General features: G+C 56.9%; 1 protein-coding gene and 1 long non-coding RNA gene across 3 annotated transcripts in view, besides 1 other annotated feature; both read left to right on the forward strand.

Annotated features, from left to right (window-relative positions):
- PRDM16 (PR/SET domain 16) overlaps positions 1-21,192 on the forward strand; it is a 369,419-nt gene that overhangs the window by 106,097 nt on the left and 242,130 nt on the right. For both annotated transcript variants that reach the window (NM_022114.4, NM_199454.3), the window contains exon 2: positions 10,826-11,175. In NM_022114.4, coding sequence (NP_071397.3) covers positions 10,826-11,175 — 350 coding nt within the window. The remainder of the gene's footprint in view (positions 1-10,825; positions 11,176-21,192) is intronic.
- LOC107984909 (uncharacterized) lies at positions 12,259-20,227 on the forward strand. The gene is made up of 2 exons (XR_001737869.2): positions 12,259-18,417; positions 19,534-20,227. It is a non-coding gene; the product is annotated as an uncharacterized LOC107984909 (long non-coding RNA).
- Positions 13,554-14,055: an enhancer, noted in NCBI's record as "H3K4me1 hESC enhancer chr1:3105417-3105918 (GRCh37/hg19 assembly coordinates)". NCBI's record gives its function as "activates a minimal SCP1, AML or CMV promoter by ChIP-STARR-seq in primed H9 embryonic stem cells {active_cell/tissue: H9 hESC(primed)}" and the evidence as "EXISTENCE:reporter gene assay evidence [ECO:0000049][PMID:30033119]".

The raw sequence follows: 21,192 nt of genomic DNA on the forward strand, positions 1-21,192 counted from the left end.
AGGGTATACTCGGCAGAGATGTAGGTGTACAGAATCCTCTGTGAGGAATGGGAACACCCTATTTTTTCTCTAGAAGTTGCCTCCGTGCGTGCCTGCTCTCCCCGATCAGCTCTCCCACAACCACAGCCTGCCTGATGCGCCCACCTCTCCCTCTCCCTGTTTTGTTCAGGGGGCAGGATGGCCCTTCACTGCTCATGGGGACTCATAGGCACCCAGTTGGGGGAACATTCTCCAGGTCTCTGACCCACTACACAGCACTCCTCCCTGCTTGGTTCTGAGAAGGAAAAGAGGAGCCAGAGGATGGGGCCCCAACAAGCCTCAGGTGGAAGCTGCAGTCCCGTGGAGCCAGGCACAGCTCCGGCCAAGTCCCAGAACTCAGACCTGCCCACCCGCCACATGGGTGCAGGGAGGGTGACAGCCGGTCAGCCCTGAAGAAGCAGCAGAGAAACCAGCCCTTTCTCCGAGGCAGGGCCTGGCTGAGAAAGCCCAGACGTTCCTCTCAGATGAGCCGATCAGGGTCAAGGGCAGAGAGGAGCCAGGGTTGTGTTAATGGAGCTTCACGGCTAGGGAAGGAAAGTCAGAAGTGGGAGTGAGGCTCCTGCCTTCTACCTCTTCTGTTGGAAACTGCCCTGGAGGTTGCCCTTACCCCATCCATCCATCCACTCACTCACCCATCCATCCATGCAGCCAGCCAGCCAGCCAGCCAGCCAGCCATCCCCTTATAAATCTATCCACCCATCCATCCCCTCATCCATCCATCCAACCATCCATCCATCCATCCATCCACCCATTGATTCACCTACCCATCCATTCATCCATTCCTTCATTAACCCATCCATGCACTCATTCATCTATCCATCCATCCATCCATCCATCCATCTATCCATCCATCCATTTACCCATCTATCCCCTCATCTATCCACCAAGCCATTCATCCACCTATCTATGCATTCATCCACCATCTGTCCATCCATCCATCCATCCATCCATCTATCCATCTGTCCATACATCCATCTATTCTTCCATCCATCCCTCCATCCATTCATCCCCTGTTCTCCTGGAGGCATTCACACCTTGAGGTGGCCTTTGGGGAAGAGCTGCCTCATGCTGGGTCCTGCCTCTTTCAGAGCAGGGCAGCACAGCTCCTCAGAGCAGGAAGACCCTTCTGGCAGACACCAGGCTGCATCCATCCATCCATCCACCCACCCATTGATTCACCCACCCATCCATTCATCCATTCACTCATTAACCCATCCATGCACTCATTCATTTATCCATTCTTCCTTCCTTCTGTCCATCCATCCATCATCCATTCATCTATCCATCCATCCATGTACCCATCTATCCCCTCATCTATCCATCCAGCCATTCATTCACCTATCTATGCATTCATCCACCATCTGTCCATCTATCCATCCATCCATCCATCCATCCATCCATCCATCTATTCTTCCATCCATCCCTCCATCCATCCATCCCCTTATAAATCCATCCATCTATCCACCCCTTGATTCACCCACCCATCCATTCATCCATTCATTCATTAACCCATCCATGCACTCATTCATCTATCCATTCTTCCTTCCTTCCGTCTAACCATCCATCCACCCATCTATCCACTCATCCATCCACCCATTCATTCACATACCCATTCATTCATTCATCCATCCATTAACCCATCCAGCACTCATCCATCCATTTTTCCTTCCATCCACTAATCCATCCATCCATCCCCTCATCCATCTGTTAACTCATCCATCCACTCATGTATCTATACACTTATCCATTCATCCACTTATCTATGTATTCATCCACCATCTTCCATTCATTCACCCATCCACCAACCCATCCATTCACTCATCCATCTATTCATCTATTCACCCATCTATCAATCTTTCCATCCATTCGTAAATTCATCCACCCACCCACCCATCCATTCAGCTATTTATCTCTCCATCCATCTATCAAGCATCTATTCACACTCCCACCCATACCTCTTCTGCTGGACATGACGAAGGCCCTTACTGACTGCCAGGAAACTGTTTCAGGTGTTTTGTCATTGTAGGGAGAACACGGGGTCGTTAGAGTGGCGTTTGAGAAGCTTCGAAATCAAGACTGTTTGAACATCTCCCAGCTCGTTCCTGACTAGCTGTGTGGCATTGAGCAAGTTGCTCACTCTCTGAGCTTCACTTCTTTGATGTATAAACTGGGTGAGGTCACAACTCCACCTTCCCTCCAGGGCTGCTGCAAGAATGAGCTGGACCACAGTGCCGGCTGCATGCTCCGCGGCCCAGTCAATATCAGCAGCCGGCCAGTCCCCAGGAGAGCGAGCCAACGTCAGTGCTCTATTGTCTGATTAGAGGCTGATTGCTCCAAAGTTGCTCCTGGAATCATTCTAGAATCGAACAGCTGTGTGGTCAACCAGGGACCATGTTTCCTCACAGTCTTGGAGTTGTGATGGAGGCGTTCTCTGTCCTGAAGTTTTGCCTCCCTTTGTAATTGCATTTATATGTTGGCCTGAACTGATCAGTAAGTTTAGATACTGTTTTGGATGGGCCAGGTGAGACTGAATGCAACCTCAGGCGTTCACATCTCGAGGTGGCCTTTGGGGAAGAGCTGCCTCGTGCTGGGTCCTGCCTCTTTCAGAGCAGGCCAGCACAGCTCCTTGGAGCAGGAAGACCCTTCTGGCAGACGCCAGGCCGCGGCGTCTTGCTGCCTCTGGGCAGGAGACTGAAGTTAAAAACAGACTTGCAAGGCTCGGCCATGGCTGGGTTTTACAAGAATGATGGCCCGGTGTTTGGCGAGCTGAGGAGTGGATCCTCCCCCTGCCAGCGATATTAGGGACGATGAGGAGCACGTGGCAATAAGACGGCAAGGGTTTGGTCCCCTCACACCCAATAAAAAAACGCCTTTCATGAGAGAAAGCAGTTGCAGGGGCAGCTTTAGACTTGAAGCTTTTGGAGGCCACATCTACACAGACAGGTAAGGGGCGTCTCGAACACAGTCCTTCTGAAATTCTTGGCGAATCTCCCCTCCCTCCCGCAGGCTTCCGTCTGCCTCCCTCACCTCCGCACAGCCCCAAACCCAGAACCGAGCTCTGCGGAGAGGTGGTTCTTTAACAGCCACGTCTTCCTGGGAAGGCTTTGGATGGGAAAAGTGCTTTGCAGCCCAGCTGCTGTTCTCCCGGAGGCCGGGGCTCCTGGAGGCTGCCGCTTGCTTTTCTCCGCCTGGGTGGCAAACGTGTGTACTTAACTTGAAAAACCTCAGGGTCAATAAGGGTTTCAGTCCACATTTTCAGAGCGATCTTCTCGACATTTTAGAAAAGCCTAGTTCCCTCTGTTAAACCCTGTTTCCCCCAGGATGCACCCTTGTCACTCAGCACTTCCCCATCTGTCCCCACCACCCACTTCCCAAACTCGAGGGCCCTGCTCCTTGAGGGCACCCCTCCTGGAGGCTTTGCTGAAGCACCGATTGCCTGCACACACCAGCCCCGCCCCAGGTCAGTGGGCCTGGGTGGACCTGTGAATTACAGGTCTAGCAAGTCCTCAGGGGATGCAGGGGCTGCTGGCGGGGACTCCACTCAGACTCCTGAGCCACAGGGGCTGAAACCCACAGCCGGGTCCACCCAACCTCTAAAACCTTCCGGTCCCACCTCGCTCCAAACACCTTGCCCAGCCCTTCCCTTGGGCTGGCCCTGGCCCTGCGGGTTTAGAGAAGGGGGTGACCCGATGCTGCACCTTTCACGGGCCTTGAGGCCTGATGTTACTGTCAGGGCCTTGGAGGAACTCAGACAAACCCCATCCAGGGCTCTCCCCGGTTTTGAAAGTGCCCATATGGCGCCCACCACACATATTCTCTCTGCTCTGGACTTCTCTGCCTGATGGTTGTGGGGAATGTGTAGCCGATCCCAACCAAAATAAGAGGGCTCCGCCTGGACTAGGGTGAGGCAGAGAGGCCAGCAGGGCCAGGACTGGGGTCAGAGCGCTTGTGCCCCAGGGCATGGACAGGCTGGGTGTCAGGGGCAGGGAGCGTGGACTCAGGAGTGGGTGTGGTTCCAGCCCTCAGCCCCTCACTGGGGGATGACAGGCTCCTTCACCCCCCTGTGCCTCTGTTTCCCCAGCTGTACAGTGGGCAGCTCCCCTGAGGGAGGAGCACACCCTCCTTCCAGAGCCACTCACTGCTTGGTCCACATGGCTGGATGCGGGCACCTGAGAGGCTGTGACATCACATCCGTCCCAACACCTGGAAACAGGCTGAGAAACCTGCTGTGGGGTGGCAGATCCATCAGGCAGCATGAGGGAGAGAAAAGGGCCCCCGAGTGCCCACCCGGCTGCCAACCCAGCAGGCCCGCATGGCACCGTGGTGCAGATTGAAGGGGCCGCCCGCTCTCAAGGCCGGGCACCTGCATCCTGGCACCTCGCTGGCCTCCGCCTTGCCCTGCTCACCAGGCACTAGCCTCCTTGGAGGGTGTGGAAGATTCCAAGGTGATCCGGCCCCGAGTGATCTCGTACAAGCTTTTCTGGTTAGAGAGACGGTTCCCAAAGCCCAGAGATCTGTGGCCTGAGTGTGGGTCACCCCTGCTTTCCCGGGTCCCTGTTCCTATCACGGTGGACCTTCCCCAGGCTGCCACCGGATTTGTTTGCTCCATCATGACAAAGACATTAACGAATGACAAGGTTCTTGGTGGTCTGCAGCGCAGAATCGTTATCCCTGGACTTTCCTGTCCCTTCCGTCTCATACTTTTGACCTTAGGTTTTCTGAAATGTGACATTTCAGGGAACTGCACAGCAAAGGATTCCCTCGTGTTTCTCAGGTTGATCAGAAGCACCTACTGCCACCCTCCACAGTTATTTCTGTTGTTTCTGTTTTTTGTTTTTTGTTTTTGTTTGTTTGCTTGTTTGTTTTAAGCAGCTCCTCCCACCCCCCAGGCCAAGACAAGGTATCTCGGAGCCGGGCAGGAATCATGAAGTATGTTCTGCTGTAAACTCACAGGCCTGAAGTAATCACACATCCACGTACACACAGGTGGAGTGAGGAACCGTAGATTTTTGGAGTGGGTGTTCTTTCCACTGAAATGTTCCTTGAAATCACGTGGCTGGGTGTGCAGTTGTAAGAAACGCCGCGTAGAGGCCAGCCTGCCCTTGGCGCAGTTTCTCCCGGTGGGTCCCATCTTGGGCATCTCCAGGACCACATCTTGGCCCCATAGAGAGGTGTGCAGCTGGGTGGGACCGAGTCCCCACAGGGCCCGAGGGCCGCAAAAGTAAAGACCCAGGCCAGCATCAGGAGGCCCCCAGGGAACCCGCATGGGGCCTAGACGAGGGCAGCCCGGGGCAGCCGAGCGCCATTCGCTGCCTTGCCCTTGAGGGAGGGAGGCAAGGGGGCCCGAACTTCAGCCCCTCACCCAGCAGACGGGAGACCCTTCCTCCTGAGGGGTCTCCAGACAGAAGAGAAACAGCGTTTCCCAACCCAGAGGCCGCATAGAGGCTGGGGTCAGCTGAGGTTGCCCTGGACACCTTTTCAGGTTCCCAACAGGGCCCTCTGCTTACACACGCAGTCTTACGCACGGCCTTACACACGCAGTCTTACACACGGCCTCACACACGCAGTCTTACACGCAGCCTTACACACGCAGCCACACACGCAGCCTTACACACGCAGTCTTACACACTCGGTCTTACACACGCAGTCTTACACACGATCTTACACGCGGTCTTACAAATGCGGTCTTACACGCGGTCTTACACACGCAGTCTTACACGCGGTCTTACACACCCGGTCTTACACACGGCCTTACACACGCAGTCTTACACGCGGCCTTACACACGCAGTCTTACACGCGGTCTTACACACGCAGTCTTACACGCGGTCTTACGGTCTTACACACGCAGTCTTACGGTCTTACACACGGTCTTACACACGCAGTCTTACACACGGTCTTACACACAGTCTTACACACGCAGTCTTACACACGGCCTTACGCATGGTCTTACACACGCAGTCTTACACACGGTCTTACACACGCAATCTTACACAAGCAGTCTTACACACGGTCTTACACACGGTCTTACACACGCAGTCTTACACACGGCCTTACGCATGGTCTTACACACGCAGTCTTACACACGCGGTCTTACACAAGCAGTCTTACACGGTCTTACACACGGTCTTACACACGCAGTCTTACACACAGCCTTACGCATGGTCTTACACACGCAGTCTTACACAAGCGGTCTTACACACGGTCTTACACACGCAGTCTTACACACGCAGTCTTACACACGGTCTTACATATGGTCTTACACATGCAGTCTTACACACGGTCTTACACATGCAGTCTTACACACGGTCTTACACACGGTCTTACACAGTCTTACACGCGCAGTCTTACACACGGTCTTACACACGGTCTTACACACGCAGTCTTACACACGGTCTTACACACGGAGTCTTACACACGGTCTTACACACAGTCTTACACATGCAGTCTTACACATGCAGTCTTACACACGGTCTTACACATGCGGTCTTACACATTCAGTCTTACACACGGTCTTACACACGCAGTCTTACACACGGTCTTGCACACGCAGTCTTACACACGGTCTTACACACGCAGTCTTACACATGGTCTTACACATGCTTACACACACAGTCTTACACATGCCTTACACATGCAGTCACATGCTTACACATGCAGTCACATGCTTACACACACTGTCTTACACATGCTTACACACGGATACTCATGGGATGCTCACATTCACACGCACTCTGGGGGCCGCCCTTCCCTGCCAGCCACCACACGGTGCCTCTTTCCTGCCCAGTGGGGCCTGCAGGCCTCATGGCTTCTCTTTAAAACCACATGATGAAGGAGGAAGCACAGCCAGGCAGATACCGACTCCGAAAAACCCCCTTGTACTCCCTCTGGCCAAGAATCTAGGCTGAAATCTGCCCATCCCTGACACAGAGCCGCTCGGCGCTCGGGCTGCGGGGAAGGGGTCGTCGTGTTGGTAATCCCCCTCTGAGGGCACTGCTCGTGTGGCCCTGGCAGGTGGACGGTGGTGAGGGATCCCCTGTTGGCTGTTGGGCTCCTGTCCTGGCCGGTTTAGCACAGTGGTCCTGATCTGTGGCCTCTTCTCTCGCTCTCTCCAGACCCCAAGACCCTGGCCATAGCTTTGCTTTCTAGATATGGGTCTCTTGGGAGATGGTGGGGGTGGCCTCTGTTCCAGGATCATTTCCTATAGCCTGGGTGAGGGGTGCTGAAGGCTCCCACTGTAAGGCTGAAATAGACGCAGCCCTAAACCAAGGGTTGTGGTGGAGCCCAGGGGCAATGCGAGGGGCAGAGGTCACCGTGGGCTCCCAGCCAGCTCGGTCTCTGTCCCAGCCCGGGGCAGCAGCAGGGTTTCTTCACCTCCCTTACCTGTATTATGCGATCAAATGACGATCGCTCATACGTGTGTGTGACAAGACTCAAAGCAGGGCCTCTCCGTGAAGATCCCCAAGCACATAGACTCGGCTGGAACTGGCAGATCGGGAGGTGCTTCACGGCAGAAAGGGGTGGCCTTGGCCCCAACTCGGGGTCACTCAGCTCCCTTCCAGCCAAGTCCACCTCTTCCCTCCCGAGCTCCCTGCCTCCCCACTCCCCTCCTTGCTTTTATAATTCCACAGGTCTCCCCATAGAAATTCTAGAAATGATGGCCTCAGTACCCTGGAATGAGATCATGGCAAATCCCAAATAAAGGATGTCAGGTCTCCTGACAAGTCAATCACACGCTGTTACCCAGCCTGCATCTCCAAAGTCATACATGATCCTGGCCCTGCACACTGACCTGTGAGAGAGTGCCTGCTGGAAATGCACACCTGTGTCACAGAGGCCTGGGTGGTAGGCCAGTGAAAAGATGCCCACGTCCAGAACAAGCCTGTCCAGCAGGGCAGAGGGTCGGGCAGCCTCCTGAACTTGCTGACCCTCTCGGGGGCATCCTGGCCGGAGCTCAGGGTGGAGAAGGGCTGACTCTGATCTCCCGGCTCCGGTTGTTCCGGGGACCCCAGAGAGCGAGTGATCTGTGCCTGGCCTGCTGGAGCCTCCGTGCAGGCTTCCCGCTTTCTCCGGGCTTTAGGGCTGTTCTCTGCACCTCATTTTCTCAAAATGTTTTCTGCACACGAATTAGCCCTCCTCTCACCCACCCTTGAAAGAAGAGCTCCCTCTCCCCCAGCAACAGGGACAGCAAAATGAGACGGGTTTTTCCTGGAGGCTGTGGGCAATCGCTTAACCCCGTGACCGCCGGGGAAGGGAGGCCGGGGGCCCAATGCACAGGCCTGCCTTTAATCAGCAGGAAACACTACCTTTCTCTCCTAAGCTGTTTGCTTGGCCAGTAAATTAAACATGCCCTTAAAGCGCTGATTTTCCTCCAGCGGGTCAGGGGTTTTGGGAAGTAGAATTCAAACAGAAAAAAGCCATGTTTTAAACGGAGCCCTGCAACGGATATGCACTTGATGCGGACGCTGCCCCACTTCGGGCTCCAGCGGAACTCCCAGAAACACCTGGGGTTCTAATTCCTACTTGTCCTTCGGGCAGAGGCGCCCACGCCCGAGAGGAGTTAAGGAGCGCGTCGAGGGGGCTTCGGCCTCCAACCCGACTTTGTTTGCGAGCTCCGTGCAGTTACCAGTTCCAAATAACAAGATGCCATGTTAATTACCACCCCCCCCAATGTACCTTTCTGCTGCACACGGTCAGCGGGGCGGGGGTTATGGGGGTGTTCTTTCAAACCTAAACAACTTCAGGTCTTTAGGGGGGAGGAACAGCAGCGGCAGTTCTGTGGCTGCGTCTCTGAAAGGATCCGCCGCGTCAATTAGAAAGGACCCGTTGGCCACTTAAAACATAATAATTACTTCTCTGAATGCTGATCAATTAAATAAGTGTTTTCCTTACGACTTTTCCCCCCAAGACTTTGGTTTCTTTTGAAAGAAAGCATTTTGCTACTTCTTGTGCTGATCTGTTTGCAACCAGTGTGAGGAATCTGAAGTCATTTTTCCTGTACTTAAAAGTTCTGGTCTCCTTAGAGGCTTCTGTTTCCGCAGCCAACGACAGGGTGCGGGGCGGGGGCCGGGAGGCGAGGGCCAGCAGGACCGGGGTCCAGTCACTTTCACGGGTCCTCGAGGCAGCCACAGAAGGAGGGGCTTGCGTGGAAAGATCTAGATCAGGTCAGGGTGACGGAGCTCACCCCACCTCCTGTCCCTTCCCGCTGCTCCCCACCTAACACTCGCGCCTGCCTTTTTTATGTTATCGAGGCAGAATTCAACCTCTGTAAAGGGGGCGATTCAGTGGCAGTGAGCCGTTCACCCAGCAGTGCGACCACCCCCTCTCTAGTTTCCAAACACCTCATCACCCCGAAAGGAGACCTGGGCCTCTCGCTGTCACCCCCACCCCAGTCCCCGAGATCTCCCATCTGCTTCTGTCTCTGGGGGCCTGTGCTGGATGAGTCGTCTAAATGCCGCCAAGCAGGTGTGACCCTCTGCATCAGCTTCCTATGCCGAGTGGTGCATGTCGGGGGCTGGTCCAGGCTGCGCGTGCCAGGGCCGCCCTCCTCCTTGGGGAGGGGTGGTGCCACAGGTGTGACCCTCTGCATCGGCTTCCTACGCCGAGTGCCGCATGTCCCAGGCTGGTCCAGGCCGCCTTCCTCCTTGGGGAGGGGAGGTACCGTCCACTACTCATCCGTTCCCTCATTCCCTCGCAGACGGACATTTGGGCTGTTTCTGCCTTCTGGCGATGGTGAATCTGCCACTGTGAACATTCGCCTGCCTGAGTCCTGATTTGGCTGCACTGGGTGGAGGGCTTTGCTTTTCTTCCTGTCCAGACTCCTCCTCGCCCTGCCCATCTCCCTTGGTGCCTCAGGCTACAATCTGGTATAGTTTCGGCTGCACACACACACTATCTTGGCACCCATCCTCTCTTAGGACGGACCCCAAAGGCCTATCCCAGACAGAAAAACTGGGCACTCTCTCATTGCTTAGTTCAGTGACCTGGGGCCCCATGAGTCCGATATCCATGACCTCAGCAGGCCTGTTCCTAGCCTGTGTCGAGATCATCAGGAACTTCCACCAGCCTCCCCAAGACCCAGCCAGCCCTACCCCAGTGCATGTCCAGGCTGTGGCCTAAGTGCAGGGATGCCCAGGCTGCGGCCCAAGTGCAGGGATGTCCAGGCTGCGGCCCAAGTGCAGGGATGTCCAGCCTGCGGCCCAAGTGCAGGGATGTCCAGGCTGCAGCCCAAGTGCAGGGAAGCAGCACTGAGCACATTTCACATTCACCCAAACTCTGAGTCCTCCCAGGCACTTAGGACTTCTGCCGTCCCTGATTTCCAAGGCTATAGAGGACATTTGGAATGTTCTGGTGCAAATATTTCACCATCAGCCAGCCCTGGGTCAGCCGCCACGCGTGACGGCTTCACCGGCTGTCCCCAGGCTTGCAAGGCACAGGCAGCTCCTTCCCTAGTTCCCTTAGGGCAGGACCACCCGGCGCATCCTCAGGTGGCTGTGGGAGCCAGGGTGGGTGAGCCAGGGTGTGTCGGGCTGTGCCATCCCATCAGAAATGTTGGCCCCAAAGGAGCCTGGTAGGATCCCATCCTCTGGAGCCTCTGACATCGAGTGATGGCAGCTGGGCTCAGGGCAGAGTGGAGGCAGCGTCTCCCGGGCAGGGGTGGCAGCCGGGCCTTCTGGGCCCCTGAGCACCCTCGGTGCCCATTGATGCCCGAGTCCCCGGCGCTCCCTGAGCTGTACACACTGGGTGGGGCACGTGCTGCAGAGGTTGACGCTGCGTTGTCTCCTTTAGGTGACGGTGACGTTGTAAATAATATGTATGAGCCCAACCGGGACCTGCTGGCCAGCCACAGCGCGGAGGACGAGGCCGAGGACAGTGCCATGTCGCCCATCCCCGTGGGGCCACCGTCCCCCTTCCCCACCAGCGAGGACTTCACCCCCAAGGAGGGCTCGCCGTACGAGGCCCCTGTCTACATTCCTGAAGACATTCCGATCCCAGCAGACTTCGAGCTCCGAGAGTCCTCCATCCCAGGGGCTGGCCTGGGGGTCTGGGCCAAGAGGAAGATGGAAGCCGGGGAGAGGCTGGGCCCCTGCGTGGTGGTGCCCCGGGCGGCGGCAAAGGAGACAGACTTCGGATGGGAGGTGAGCGATCGCGCCTGAGTATGATTGATCACGGCCATTTATCTTGTGTTCAATCTATTTATAAAGCCGGGCTGAGCAGCCACTGCCCGAGGCGGGAGGCGCGGCCAGAGAGAGCGTTCAAATGTCACATTTCCCAGCCTATTTTATCCTGCAGCTCGCCTGATGCGACTCAGAAAGCATCAGAGGTCCTCGTGGGTGCCTGTCAGCCCTGTAGGCCACGCCCACTCTCTCCCGGAAATGTGTCTTTCATGAGCTCATGTCTTAAAACATCCCGTGCTTCCCGCCGGATCCCAGGCGCGAACACTGCCATCGCGGCAGGGCAGGGAGATTAATAGGAAGTCCCAGAACAGGCAGCTGCACTCCAGGGCTTCATTCCAGGCCAGGGCAGTGTGGAGCCGCTCACAAATCACACCTGGTGGCCACGCTGCCCCGGCTGCCGTCTTCCCCGCCTGCCCCGGTCAGCCAGTGGCCTAAGAGCAGCCTCAGCTTCTCCAACTCCAGGGGCACAGGCCCCGACCTGCCAGGGAGGGATGGCTGGCTGTTTAAATTTTCCCACCACGACGTGACTGGCCTTGAGGGTCTGAAGCTGGCCTGGTGATCCTGCTGCAGGGGTCAGGAGAGAGGGCGTCCCTGGGACGGCTCTGAGAGGGAAGCACCCGGAGTGTCCTGCCCAGGTTGTGAGGGACGCTAGGCCCCGGTGTTGGGGTCCCTTGAGTGGTCCTAGGGGGACTAACAGCCCCACCCCCCCACAAAAAGTGCACTTCCTGGTGGGCCCTGGCCCTTCTGCCGGCCTCACGCAGCCAATTGTCGGTGGTATTTTTGGCAGGGCCCCTGCCTGGGTGGAAAATGGGAACACCAGTCGGATTCCCCCTGTGCCTCCCAGCCTCTGGAGTGCCCGGATGGAGGTGGGCTCCTCATGGGCAAATGGCCTGAGCAGGGAAGAGGATCCCCAGACGGGTGGGGGCAGGGTCCTGTGTCTTGCCCACCTGCTCTCCTGGTGGCTCGTGGCTCTGGAGAAGTCCCCAGCCAGGTCCATGCTCACTGTCAGGCCTGCCCCAACTCAGACAGGCCGTGGGGAGGTTCCTGTGGCCTCCAGCAGCCCTTGAGCACCTCCCCGGGCTGGCGGCATTAAGAGCCCTTTGTAAGAACACCGACGGCCTGGGGACCAGAGGCTGCCCCGCACGCTGCAGAGCTGAGTGCATCCTCCCTGGGCAAGGAGACCAGGGCACCTTGGCAGCTCCCAGCAGGCAGATGTGGTCCTTGGTAGCTCACAGAGTCCTGTGTGGCTCCTTGTCAAGGATATAGGGAGACTCAGGAGCTACTCCCTGAGTGTCAGCTTAAAGCCCCCCAGCCCTTTACAGAGCTGTGGGGGTCCCGGTGCCTGAAGAAACGTGCGGCAGAGTCTGCGGCCGTCAAGCAGGGTGGAAGCTGCAGCTCTACGGGCAGCCCCTGTGGAACGGGCGTACCCCCCCAACGAGAGGCAGAGGACAGTGTGTGTGGGCCCAAGGTCGGGTCACCTTCGGGAGAGACTGGCCAGGGCCAGGGGCCCCAGTGAAGCAGGACAGGGAGAGAGTTTGGAGTCGAAGACCTCAGTGGAGACACTGCCCAGCTTCATGGCCCTACAGGACCCTCATGGGACCAAGGAGAGCATTTTTCTAGCAATATTCATCTTTGGCTGTGCAGTGAAAGTAACTTTGGCAGAAGTGGCCTGTCCCTCCCTGCCTGGTGTGTGGGAGGGGAATTCAAGGGTGTTTGTCCGTCACACTTAGAAAGGTCTGGACTGTGTAATCAGGAGGTGGCTTGTGGATGTGAGAGGTCCAGGGGCCCTGCAGGTAGCACTTTGGATGACCTTCAGGTGACTTTGTTCTTGTCTACTCTGATACAAGTTTCTATTTGCTTTTTTTTTAAAGAAATGGCCCGTATCACCATGTCCGCGTGGTGCCAGGCCCAGCGCAGACTGCGCCACTGCCTGCCGGTGCCTGTTGACTTTGTGGTGTGTTTATCCCGGGTGTGTGTGTACGTGAGGGAACGCGCTCTCCTCACGGCGCACCTCCCGTTTCTGCGGAGGGCTTTGTTCCACGGTGGCCACCTGACAGATACCCCTCCTGCCGGCGCTTAGAAATATTTACTCTCCCCCCGACGCCCTCAAACGGTGCTCCCCGCGCACCCGGCAGGATCTCGCCTGACCTTGTTTTCCTTGCGAGTTCGGGCACCGACTCCCTGGCTTTGGGACCACCTTTGAGTTTTGTTGCTTCTATCAGATGGGACGGGGGGCAGCCATGTGCGTCGGTGCCTTCGGGAGCTGACATTGGAACTGGGCAGGAAGCCACCACCTCCTCTGAGAAGGAGAGAGAGGAGGAAGCAGGGGGCGGGAATTAAGTGGCAGCCACCTCTGCCTGAAATGAATGATGTCCGTCAATCAAGGAGGTTTCTCCCCACCTCCAGCCACCTCAGTTGGGGCCTTTGGGCAGGAAAACTGACATCTTACCCTTAAGCAGCCTTCCCAGAATTTTCCACCTGTCCCGAAAGAGCTGATTGCTATTTCCCCCTGGTTTTTGCCTTCCCTGAGGTGGCCCCGGAGGGAGAAGTGACTTGCGGGTGACTCCTTCTCTGAGGACTTCTTCCTCTTGCCGACTGCCTGGCCTGTCTTCCAAGTGCCGTGAACAGGGGCCTGAGACGGGACGGGAACACCAGGCTTCAGGGCTGGGATCCCTCTGTAGTTCCAGACACGAGAAGGACCTTCTGCTGAGTCCCCTTCCCAAGCCACTCACACCAACAAGCGGCCCTGCTAGCCCTTCTCCTCCATGCCCCTGCAGTGAGCTCGGCCAGAGCAGGCCTGGTACAGAGAAAAACATGGGTGCCAGCATCACACCAGGGGGATCCCAAGTCAGGCCTGGGACAGAGAAAAACATGGGTGCCAGCGTCACGCCAGGGGGATCCCAAGTCAGGCCTGGGACAGAGAAAAACATGGGTGCCAGCGTCACGCCAGCAAGATCCCAGGTCAGGCCTGGGACAACCCATGCGTGCGTGTCGTCTCTGATGGTCCTGAATTTCATATGTATAATTGTTCACTTTCACACTGGTAATTAAGTGTTATGAATCAGAGTGATTTGACTTTACTGTAATGTCCACGGTATTTATTTACTGAAAAAGAACAAGTAAAGATATTTTAGTAAAGATAACAAGCAAAATCCAAGAAGGATCGGTGTCATTTTGGCCTCCCTCCGTGCTGGCCTAGAGCACGGTGTTGTGGCCACTCTGAGCTCAGAAGTGGGATTCCCCTGGAGGAGAGGGGGTCTGGGAGTGGCGTGAGCAAAGGGATCTCACCAGGCAGCAGCCCCTGCAGGAACAGGGTGCGCGTCTCTTGAAGGATAGGTTTGAAATAAAAGTCACGTGGATTATTCTTACTGTCATTTTGGGACACCATGGAAACCATTTTCTTTCTACTCTGAGAACAAAGTTCTTGTTCTGGAGAATTCAGTTGAAATAAAATGAGAAGGTCCAATTTCCTTTCTCTTTGTATAGCAAGAGACACAGTGCCAGGCAACCCTCGGCTTTGGGATGACTGGGGAGGGTCAGGGGCTCTTCTCTCCCTGACATGGGGCCGATGTAGATGACAGCATGACTCCCTGGGGATGAGAGATGGGGCGGGCAGCACGTGAGGCACCCACGAGCTTTGGGTTCAAGGTCGTGGGGCAGCCTTACTTCAAGGTCGTGGGGCAGCGTTACTTCAAGGTCGTGGGGCAGCCTTACTTCAAGGTCGTGGGGCAGCCTTACTTCAAGGTCGTGGGGCAGCCTTACTTCAAGGTCGTGGGGCAGCCTTACTTTAAGTGGGAGCTTTCCGTTAGCAACGCAGGAATGAGGCTGGGGGTCGGGAGCTGAGTTTCCTCCGGCCTCAGTTGCTGGTCGGAAGCCTGCATTCCTTCTACGCTGAGGCTGACGCTTTTGGGAGGGCCGCCCCCTCCTCTCTCCCTCCTGTGTGTTAGGAATAGTCGCTGACTAAACCCGCTTTGTTCCTGGGTGCTGCGAGGCATCCTGAGCTGTGCCCTGAGTCAGATGCCCCACCCCCGACCTGGGGGCTCACTCTGTGCATGGCTGTGTGTGTGCCCCAGGGGTGTGTGGAAACGGCCCCCTGGGCTTCATCTCAGGGAGGGGGCTTGTCAGGAAGTGCACCCGAAATTCCTGGCCTCCTCCATCTGGACACAGCCGGGCTCAGTCTCTTCCCAAATACCACGCCCCGCCGGTCGCCGCCGAAGCCCACCTGCCTGGAGGAAATCACCCGTGAGCGCATTTGCTCGCCGTGGGGTCTGCAAAAACAATGATTTTCACATTTGTTGAGTAAATCATGACATTTATCATCATGCTGTTTATTTTGCTAATTAAGAGGCGGCTGCCCGGTGACAGCCCAGAGGGAGGAGGCCATGGGTGAGGCACTGGGGAGGCCACCTGCCCCCGGCTGGGCCTTCAGCTGTGTGTCCAGGGTCCTGCAGCTTGGGGCCTGCTGGGGCGGGATCCCGCAGGACCCCCAGGGGAGGCACTGGGGGCACTTTGCTCACTGCATCAGCCACTGTCTCCCACCCAAGGTCTGCTTGTTTCTTTGTTGACTGTGTCTCCCCAGAAAGGCTCTCGAAGGCATCAGCGGCCCTGCCTGTAATCAGAACGCTGATGAGTAAGTGCCTCTGCCTCTGCTGAAGAGGCCAGGTGAAAAATGTTAATGTGAATTGATGGGGTTTCAATTATTTGAAGAATGTGCTGAAGTGGACGACCTCACCCCTGGCGTTATTTACTGAATATTAATGTGTGTTCATTTGTTCAATCAACAAATGCACTGTATCTGGGCCAGGGCCTGTGGGAAGCTCTGGGGTCAGCCCAGAGGCCTTGGGCCACACCAATTCTCTGGCACTGCCATCATGGGACCCCCAAGCCGGTGCCTCCTGGGTCCCCAGAGCCCACTGAGAGCCTTTGGCAGGGCCAGGACCTGCCAGTCTCCCCTGTGGACCAGGAGCTACACAGCAGCCAGGGATGGGTGAGAGCAAGTAGAGCCTGCACTCTGAGAAGATGAGAAATGTCCTCACATGTAATATGGAATTTTATCCAAAACACCCAGCCTTGAAGAAAGGCAGGATTTCCAAGGAAGTAAAACCTCTTCTGTGGACACAGGCCTGTCCCCCTACATGTGTTTGGAATACTGATGCTCTTCTGTTCCTGAGTGGGAGAAATGAGAAATACATTTGCAGGTCCATTTTGGTCCCAGGTGATAGGATGACGATGGAGTGGGGTGAGGGCAGCCCAGCCAGGCACCTGGCTCCCTGGGACAGCAGGAGGGACAGTGCTATGGGGCTTCAGTCTCCGACATCACAGCACAAATGTCCATGATTGGCTTTTAAAGGCACCGTGAGGCAGGCGTAAAAAGGTAGCACCCAGAACCAGCTTCCCCACATACCAGGAAGCACTGGAGGGCCCCAAGTGCTGAGACCCGGTTCAGTCCGATGGCAGGAGGGGCAATGGCAAATTTACTCCAGGGTTTTTGCAATGTGGCCAGGTCCACAGGGTAGGGTAGGGAATCACCCAGGCCACCCTTTCCCACACACAAACCCCAGTCCCTTCTCCCTTCCTCCTGAATGTCCTGTCAGCAGCAAATATTAACATGATTTGCTGCAGGAGATTGTGTGTGAGCTTGCACACACAAATAGCCCCCACAGCTTAATTTTTGCCTAAAGTCCTAGACAGAGCCTTGGCCTCTAAGGATGGGGATCATCCGTGTCGCCAGCTCATCTGGGCTCGGTAGCTTTTGGAGCTGGCTGTCTTGGGGCATGCGGGTTGGGTGCCTGCAGGCCTTGCTTCTCTGGGAGTTCCGGCTGGGTTTTGAGCCAGAAGATCCTGGAGAGACACTTCCAGGCTCTGGATTAATGACCAGGCTCAGGGTGTTAGGAGGAGACCCTAAGGAGTCAGCCCCTACATCCAGACCTCATGCTCTGGCCTGCTCATGTTCCAATTGGGCAATCTCTTCATGAGGGATGTGGGTTCAGGACTGGGTTTGGGGAAGTAGGAGGTCCTATTGGAGGCTCTGCCTTTCTACCGTTTTCATGGCAGTGGGCGGGGCTTGGTGCTGGTGTAGGAGCTGGACTTAGACCCCTCCGTCGGTCCTGGGCTGGGGAATCAAGGTGAGCTTGGCCACAGGTCTGAGCCCAGGCAGAAGCGACCCTGTTTTAACCAAGCCCCAGCTCCTGCCCAGGAGGGATTGTCGAGGCTCCTGGGACTCTGCTTCAGTCCCTTTCAGTCCCTGTGGCCCATGAGCAAACAGGAAACCAAGATCAACCCAGAGACAGACACACCCGGCTGCCTTGTTGCCATAAAGACCCTCGGTGCTCAAAGTGTGGTCCCTGAGCCAGCAGTGCTGGCCTCCCTGCAGGTTTGTTGGAAATGAAGAACCTTGGCCCCTCTCTGGGACTCACTGAGTCACCACCTGCAATTGAGCGAGATCCCTGGTGATTCATGTGCACAGCTGAGTTTAGGAAGGACCCGGCCAGACAGCGAGTACCCAGCAGTCACAGCGGCCAGACGGCGAGTACCCAGCAGACACAGCGGCCAGATGGTGAGTACTGAGCAGACGCAGCGGCCAGACGGCGAGTACCCAGCAGACACAGCGGCCAGACGACGAGTACCCAGCAGACGCAGCGGCTTACCAGGGGGCAGCTTTGGGTGTGTTGCAGGCATTGGGAGAGTCACCAATGTTCCCTGACGCTGTGGAAGGATGCACTGCCTTCCTGCCCGTCCCGCCTCCAGGGCTGACCTCCTGAGGCTTCGGGCTCCTGCCCGGCCCCCCAAGGGGATGGAGCGGCAGCTCCCACCAGTGCCAGGTCTAGCCATTCCTAGGAGATCTCCAGGCTGCCTCATGGCTCTGGGATTCAGGAAGAAGGGGCACCTGCCAGCCACCAGAGGCTGGTTTGAACCCAGAAGTGTTTGACATAGCTCTCCTCTGTAGAAGCAGAACTTGTGTGTCCAGCGCCCACTGCTCAGTGGGCTGGGTGCTCCCTTTGCACCCCTGGAGCTGTCCACAGCCATGGACCTCCGCACTCTCCATCCCATCCGGCTCTGGGGGACCCCAGGATGGCAGGCAAGGAAGGCTCAACCCAGGGAGCTCCTGTGGCTCAGACATATTCTGAGAAGTGCGCCCACCCAGCCGGGGAGGAGGTGCAAGCCCCTGCCCCCCAACAATGTCTGCTGAATGCATAGGAAAATGTAAGAGTGAGTGCCCCTCCCACATGTCGGTCTGTACTGGGGGAGGGGGTGGTCAGGAAAGCTCCCAAGTCCTTCCCGGGTGCCTGAGACCTGAGGGCAGAGGCTGGGGGCTGCGGGCTCCCCTTCACTGTGTGTTCGTGTTGCCTGGGGAGCATGGGAAATACAGGTGTCAGGCCTGCCTTGGAGATGCTGGGCTGGGGCCAGGGAGGGTGACCAACCTCCCTGTTTGCCCAGGAACGTCCCAGTGTCAGACCCAAAGTCCTGGCACACCCCTCTGGCATCAGGCATGTGAAAGCTCCCAGGAGATCCTAATTTACGGCCTGGGCCGAGAGCAGCTGACCTAGATAGGAGGAGTGGAGAGCCCGCCTGCATGTCCTGTCCGGCACCTGCACCAGACCGCCGGGCAAGGGACAGGTGGGAGGGCTGAGGAACAAGGGCTCCCAAAGCACTCGTCTGGCCTTCTGCAACGCTCAGTGCACACTGGGGGGCTATTTAGGATGGTTGTTGAGGGCATTTAGTCACTCAGCAGACAACCGGCTCATCTCAGGTCCTGCAGAGGTGTTCACTGGTACCTCCCTGTGCAGGGCGCTTCCTTCTGTCTCTCCCATGCCCCTTTCACCCTGGAGCTGAGCCCCGCCATAAGCCCTCCTTGCTGGCCTGCTGTGGGGGCAGCCGGCGCTCATTGGCTGAGCTCTTAGATCACCCTATTACGCCTTATCCTTTAAATTCCAACAGAGGGGAAGGGGTAGACCATGGCAGGTGCTGGGGACCTCGGCTCAGGCTGGAGTCTCAGGGAGGGAGGCTGGGGCAGGTCTGATAATATCAAGGCTGGACTCTGCGGCAACTGGCCACTGTCTCCCCACCACACGCCACCGTCTCCCCACCACACGCCACCGTCTCCCCACCACACGCCACCGTCTCCCCGCCACACGCCACCGTCTCCCCGCCACATGCCACCGTCTGATCGCCACACGCCATCGTCTCCCCGCCACACGCCACCGTCTCCCCGCCACACGCCACCGTCTGATCGCCACACATTAGGGCTTGGTATTCTCAGTCCCACGTTTTATCATCTAAACGCCAAAACTCGTTCCTGGCCTGCCCTTTCTCTCCAAGGTTCCCAGATGCACGCTCCACTGCCCACACCACCCCCACGGTTGAGTGGGCTCGGCCCCGGGACGTGGCCTGGCTCTGGGCACCTCTGCTGCTCCACTCTGCGTGGAGAGTTCTGCGTGAGGCCAGGAAGCTTTGCCGCGCTTCCCCACTCAGGAGCTTCTGGATGTTTCTATGGAGGCCTCACGTCTAAAACCGTGAGCGCACCGGCCAGTGGATGCTCTGAGGAGTGTTCCCGTGGAGCCAGCACCGGGCAGCTCGGCGAGGCACACAGCGTCGGGATTTGGAGAGAGACGGGGCCCTGTGGGATGGTGCGGAGCCTGAGGCCACCGTGGGGACAGGGATGCAGAGAAACCCATGGGCCTCGGCGTTGCTCCGGGAGAAGCCGGCAGTGCCGTGGAGGAGTCACAGCACAGGCTTCCCATGTCCCCCGGCACCGTGACATCAGCCCTAGACGTTTTTAGCCCAAGAATGCCATGAAATCCTGCACTATCTTCGGCCCGGCTCGGAGGCACGGGTATATAAGGAATTTTAGAAAAAAGGAGAGAGAATGACTAAGAATACCTCCCTGATGGCTCTCCTTTACTTCCTTAAGGGGTAATAACTCCGCTGCAGCCCAGCAGAGGGGACTTTCTTTAAATAGAGCATTCTGATTCACAAGCGAAAAAGGAAATAAATATTTTCTTTTCATATTCGAGAGACATCTGTGAATACCAACTTCTTAAATAGTATTTTGCCAATCGCATCCCACACGCCCCGCCCCCCCTGTCCCAGTGACACCCAGAGCCCACCCTTACTCAGGAACCGGCCGCTTGTACCAAGAGACCTGAAAACATCATCAGGGCTGCCAGCCTGAAAATGTCTTCAGGGTTTTGCCAGAAGCAGGAGGGAGAAGGGCTTCTGCGTGGGGGCGTGGCCCAGCCTCCCCCTAGGTCCCCCAAGGCTCCCTGTGAGAACAGGGTGCTCCGGAGCCTCCTGCCCTTTTCCTTCCTCCCTTTCTTTCTTCCTTAGGGAAAATAAGGATTGGATGTGAAGGGAGTATGACAGAGGCATGTGGCCTCTGTATGGGCCTGGTGGGCACCTGCCGTGTGCCCTGGTCTCTGTGAGGCTCTGTCTACACTGGGACCCTCCCAGCTGTGCTGTGATTAGGACACAGCCACCCTCGCTCTGACAGGGGAACCCGGGGCTGAGAAGGAAGGAATAGCTCCCAGCCCCCAGGTTTGTCCATGCAGGGGCCCAGAGGCAGGTGTGGGTCCCGCTCAGTGACCCCAGCAGGAGCTCACTGGGGGCAGCCAGGCTCTTGCCAGGTGGGAGAGGCACAGGTGAGCTCCAGCAGGGGCGGCAGCTGGGCCCAGACCCGGTTCCTGCCCCCACTAACAGCATGTAGGTGGGGCAGTCTCAACTCTGCGCCTTGCAGGCCGATTGCCTGGGCCCAGTGCCTCATGCTCCTGCCTGAACATGGCTCTGTCCTCTGCAGGTCCCTGACCCAGCCGGGCCCTGGAACTTGACTTCACTACAGCCGATGGCCCTCTCTGGGCTTGGGGGAATTCTGTGTCGTAAACATGACCTCAGCCCCACTTTTTCTCAGAAGCTGCTGTCCCCTTGTTTGAAAGCAGGTCCCAAATGTAGACCCATGGGCCCTTGTGGGGCCTGAGAATGCTG

Source organism: Homo sapiens, chromosome 1 (genome assembly GCF_000001405.40).
Source record: "Homo sapiens chromosome 1, GRCh38.p14 Primary Assembly".
In the NCBI taxonomy this organism is placed as follows: Eukaryota; Metazoa; Chordata; class Mammalia; order Primates; family Hominidae; genus Homo; species Homo sapiens.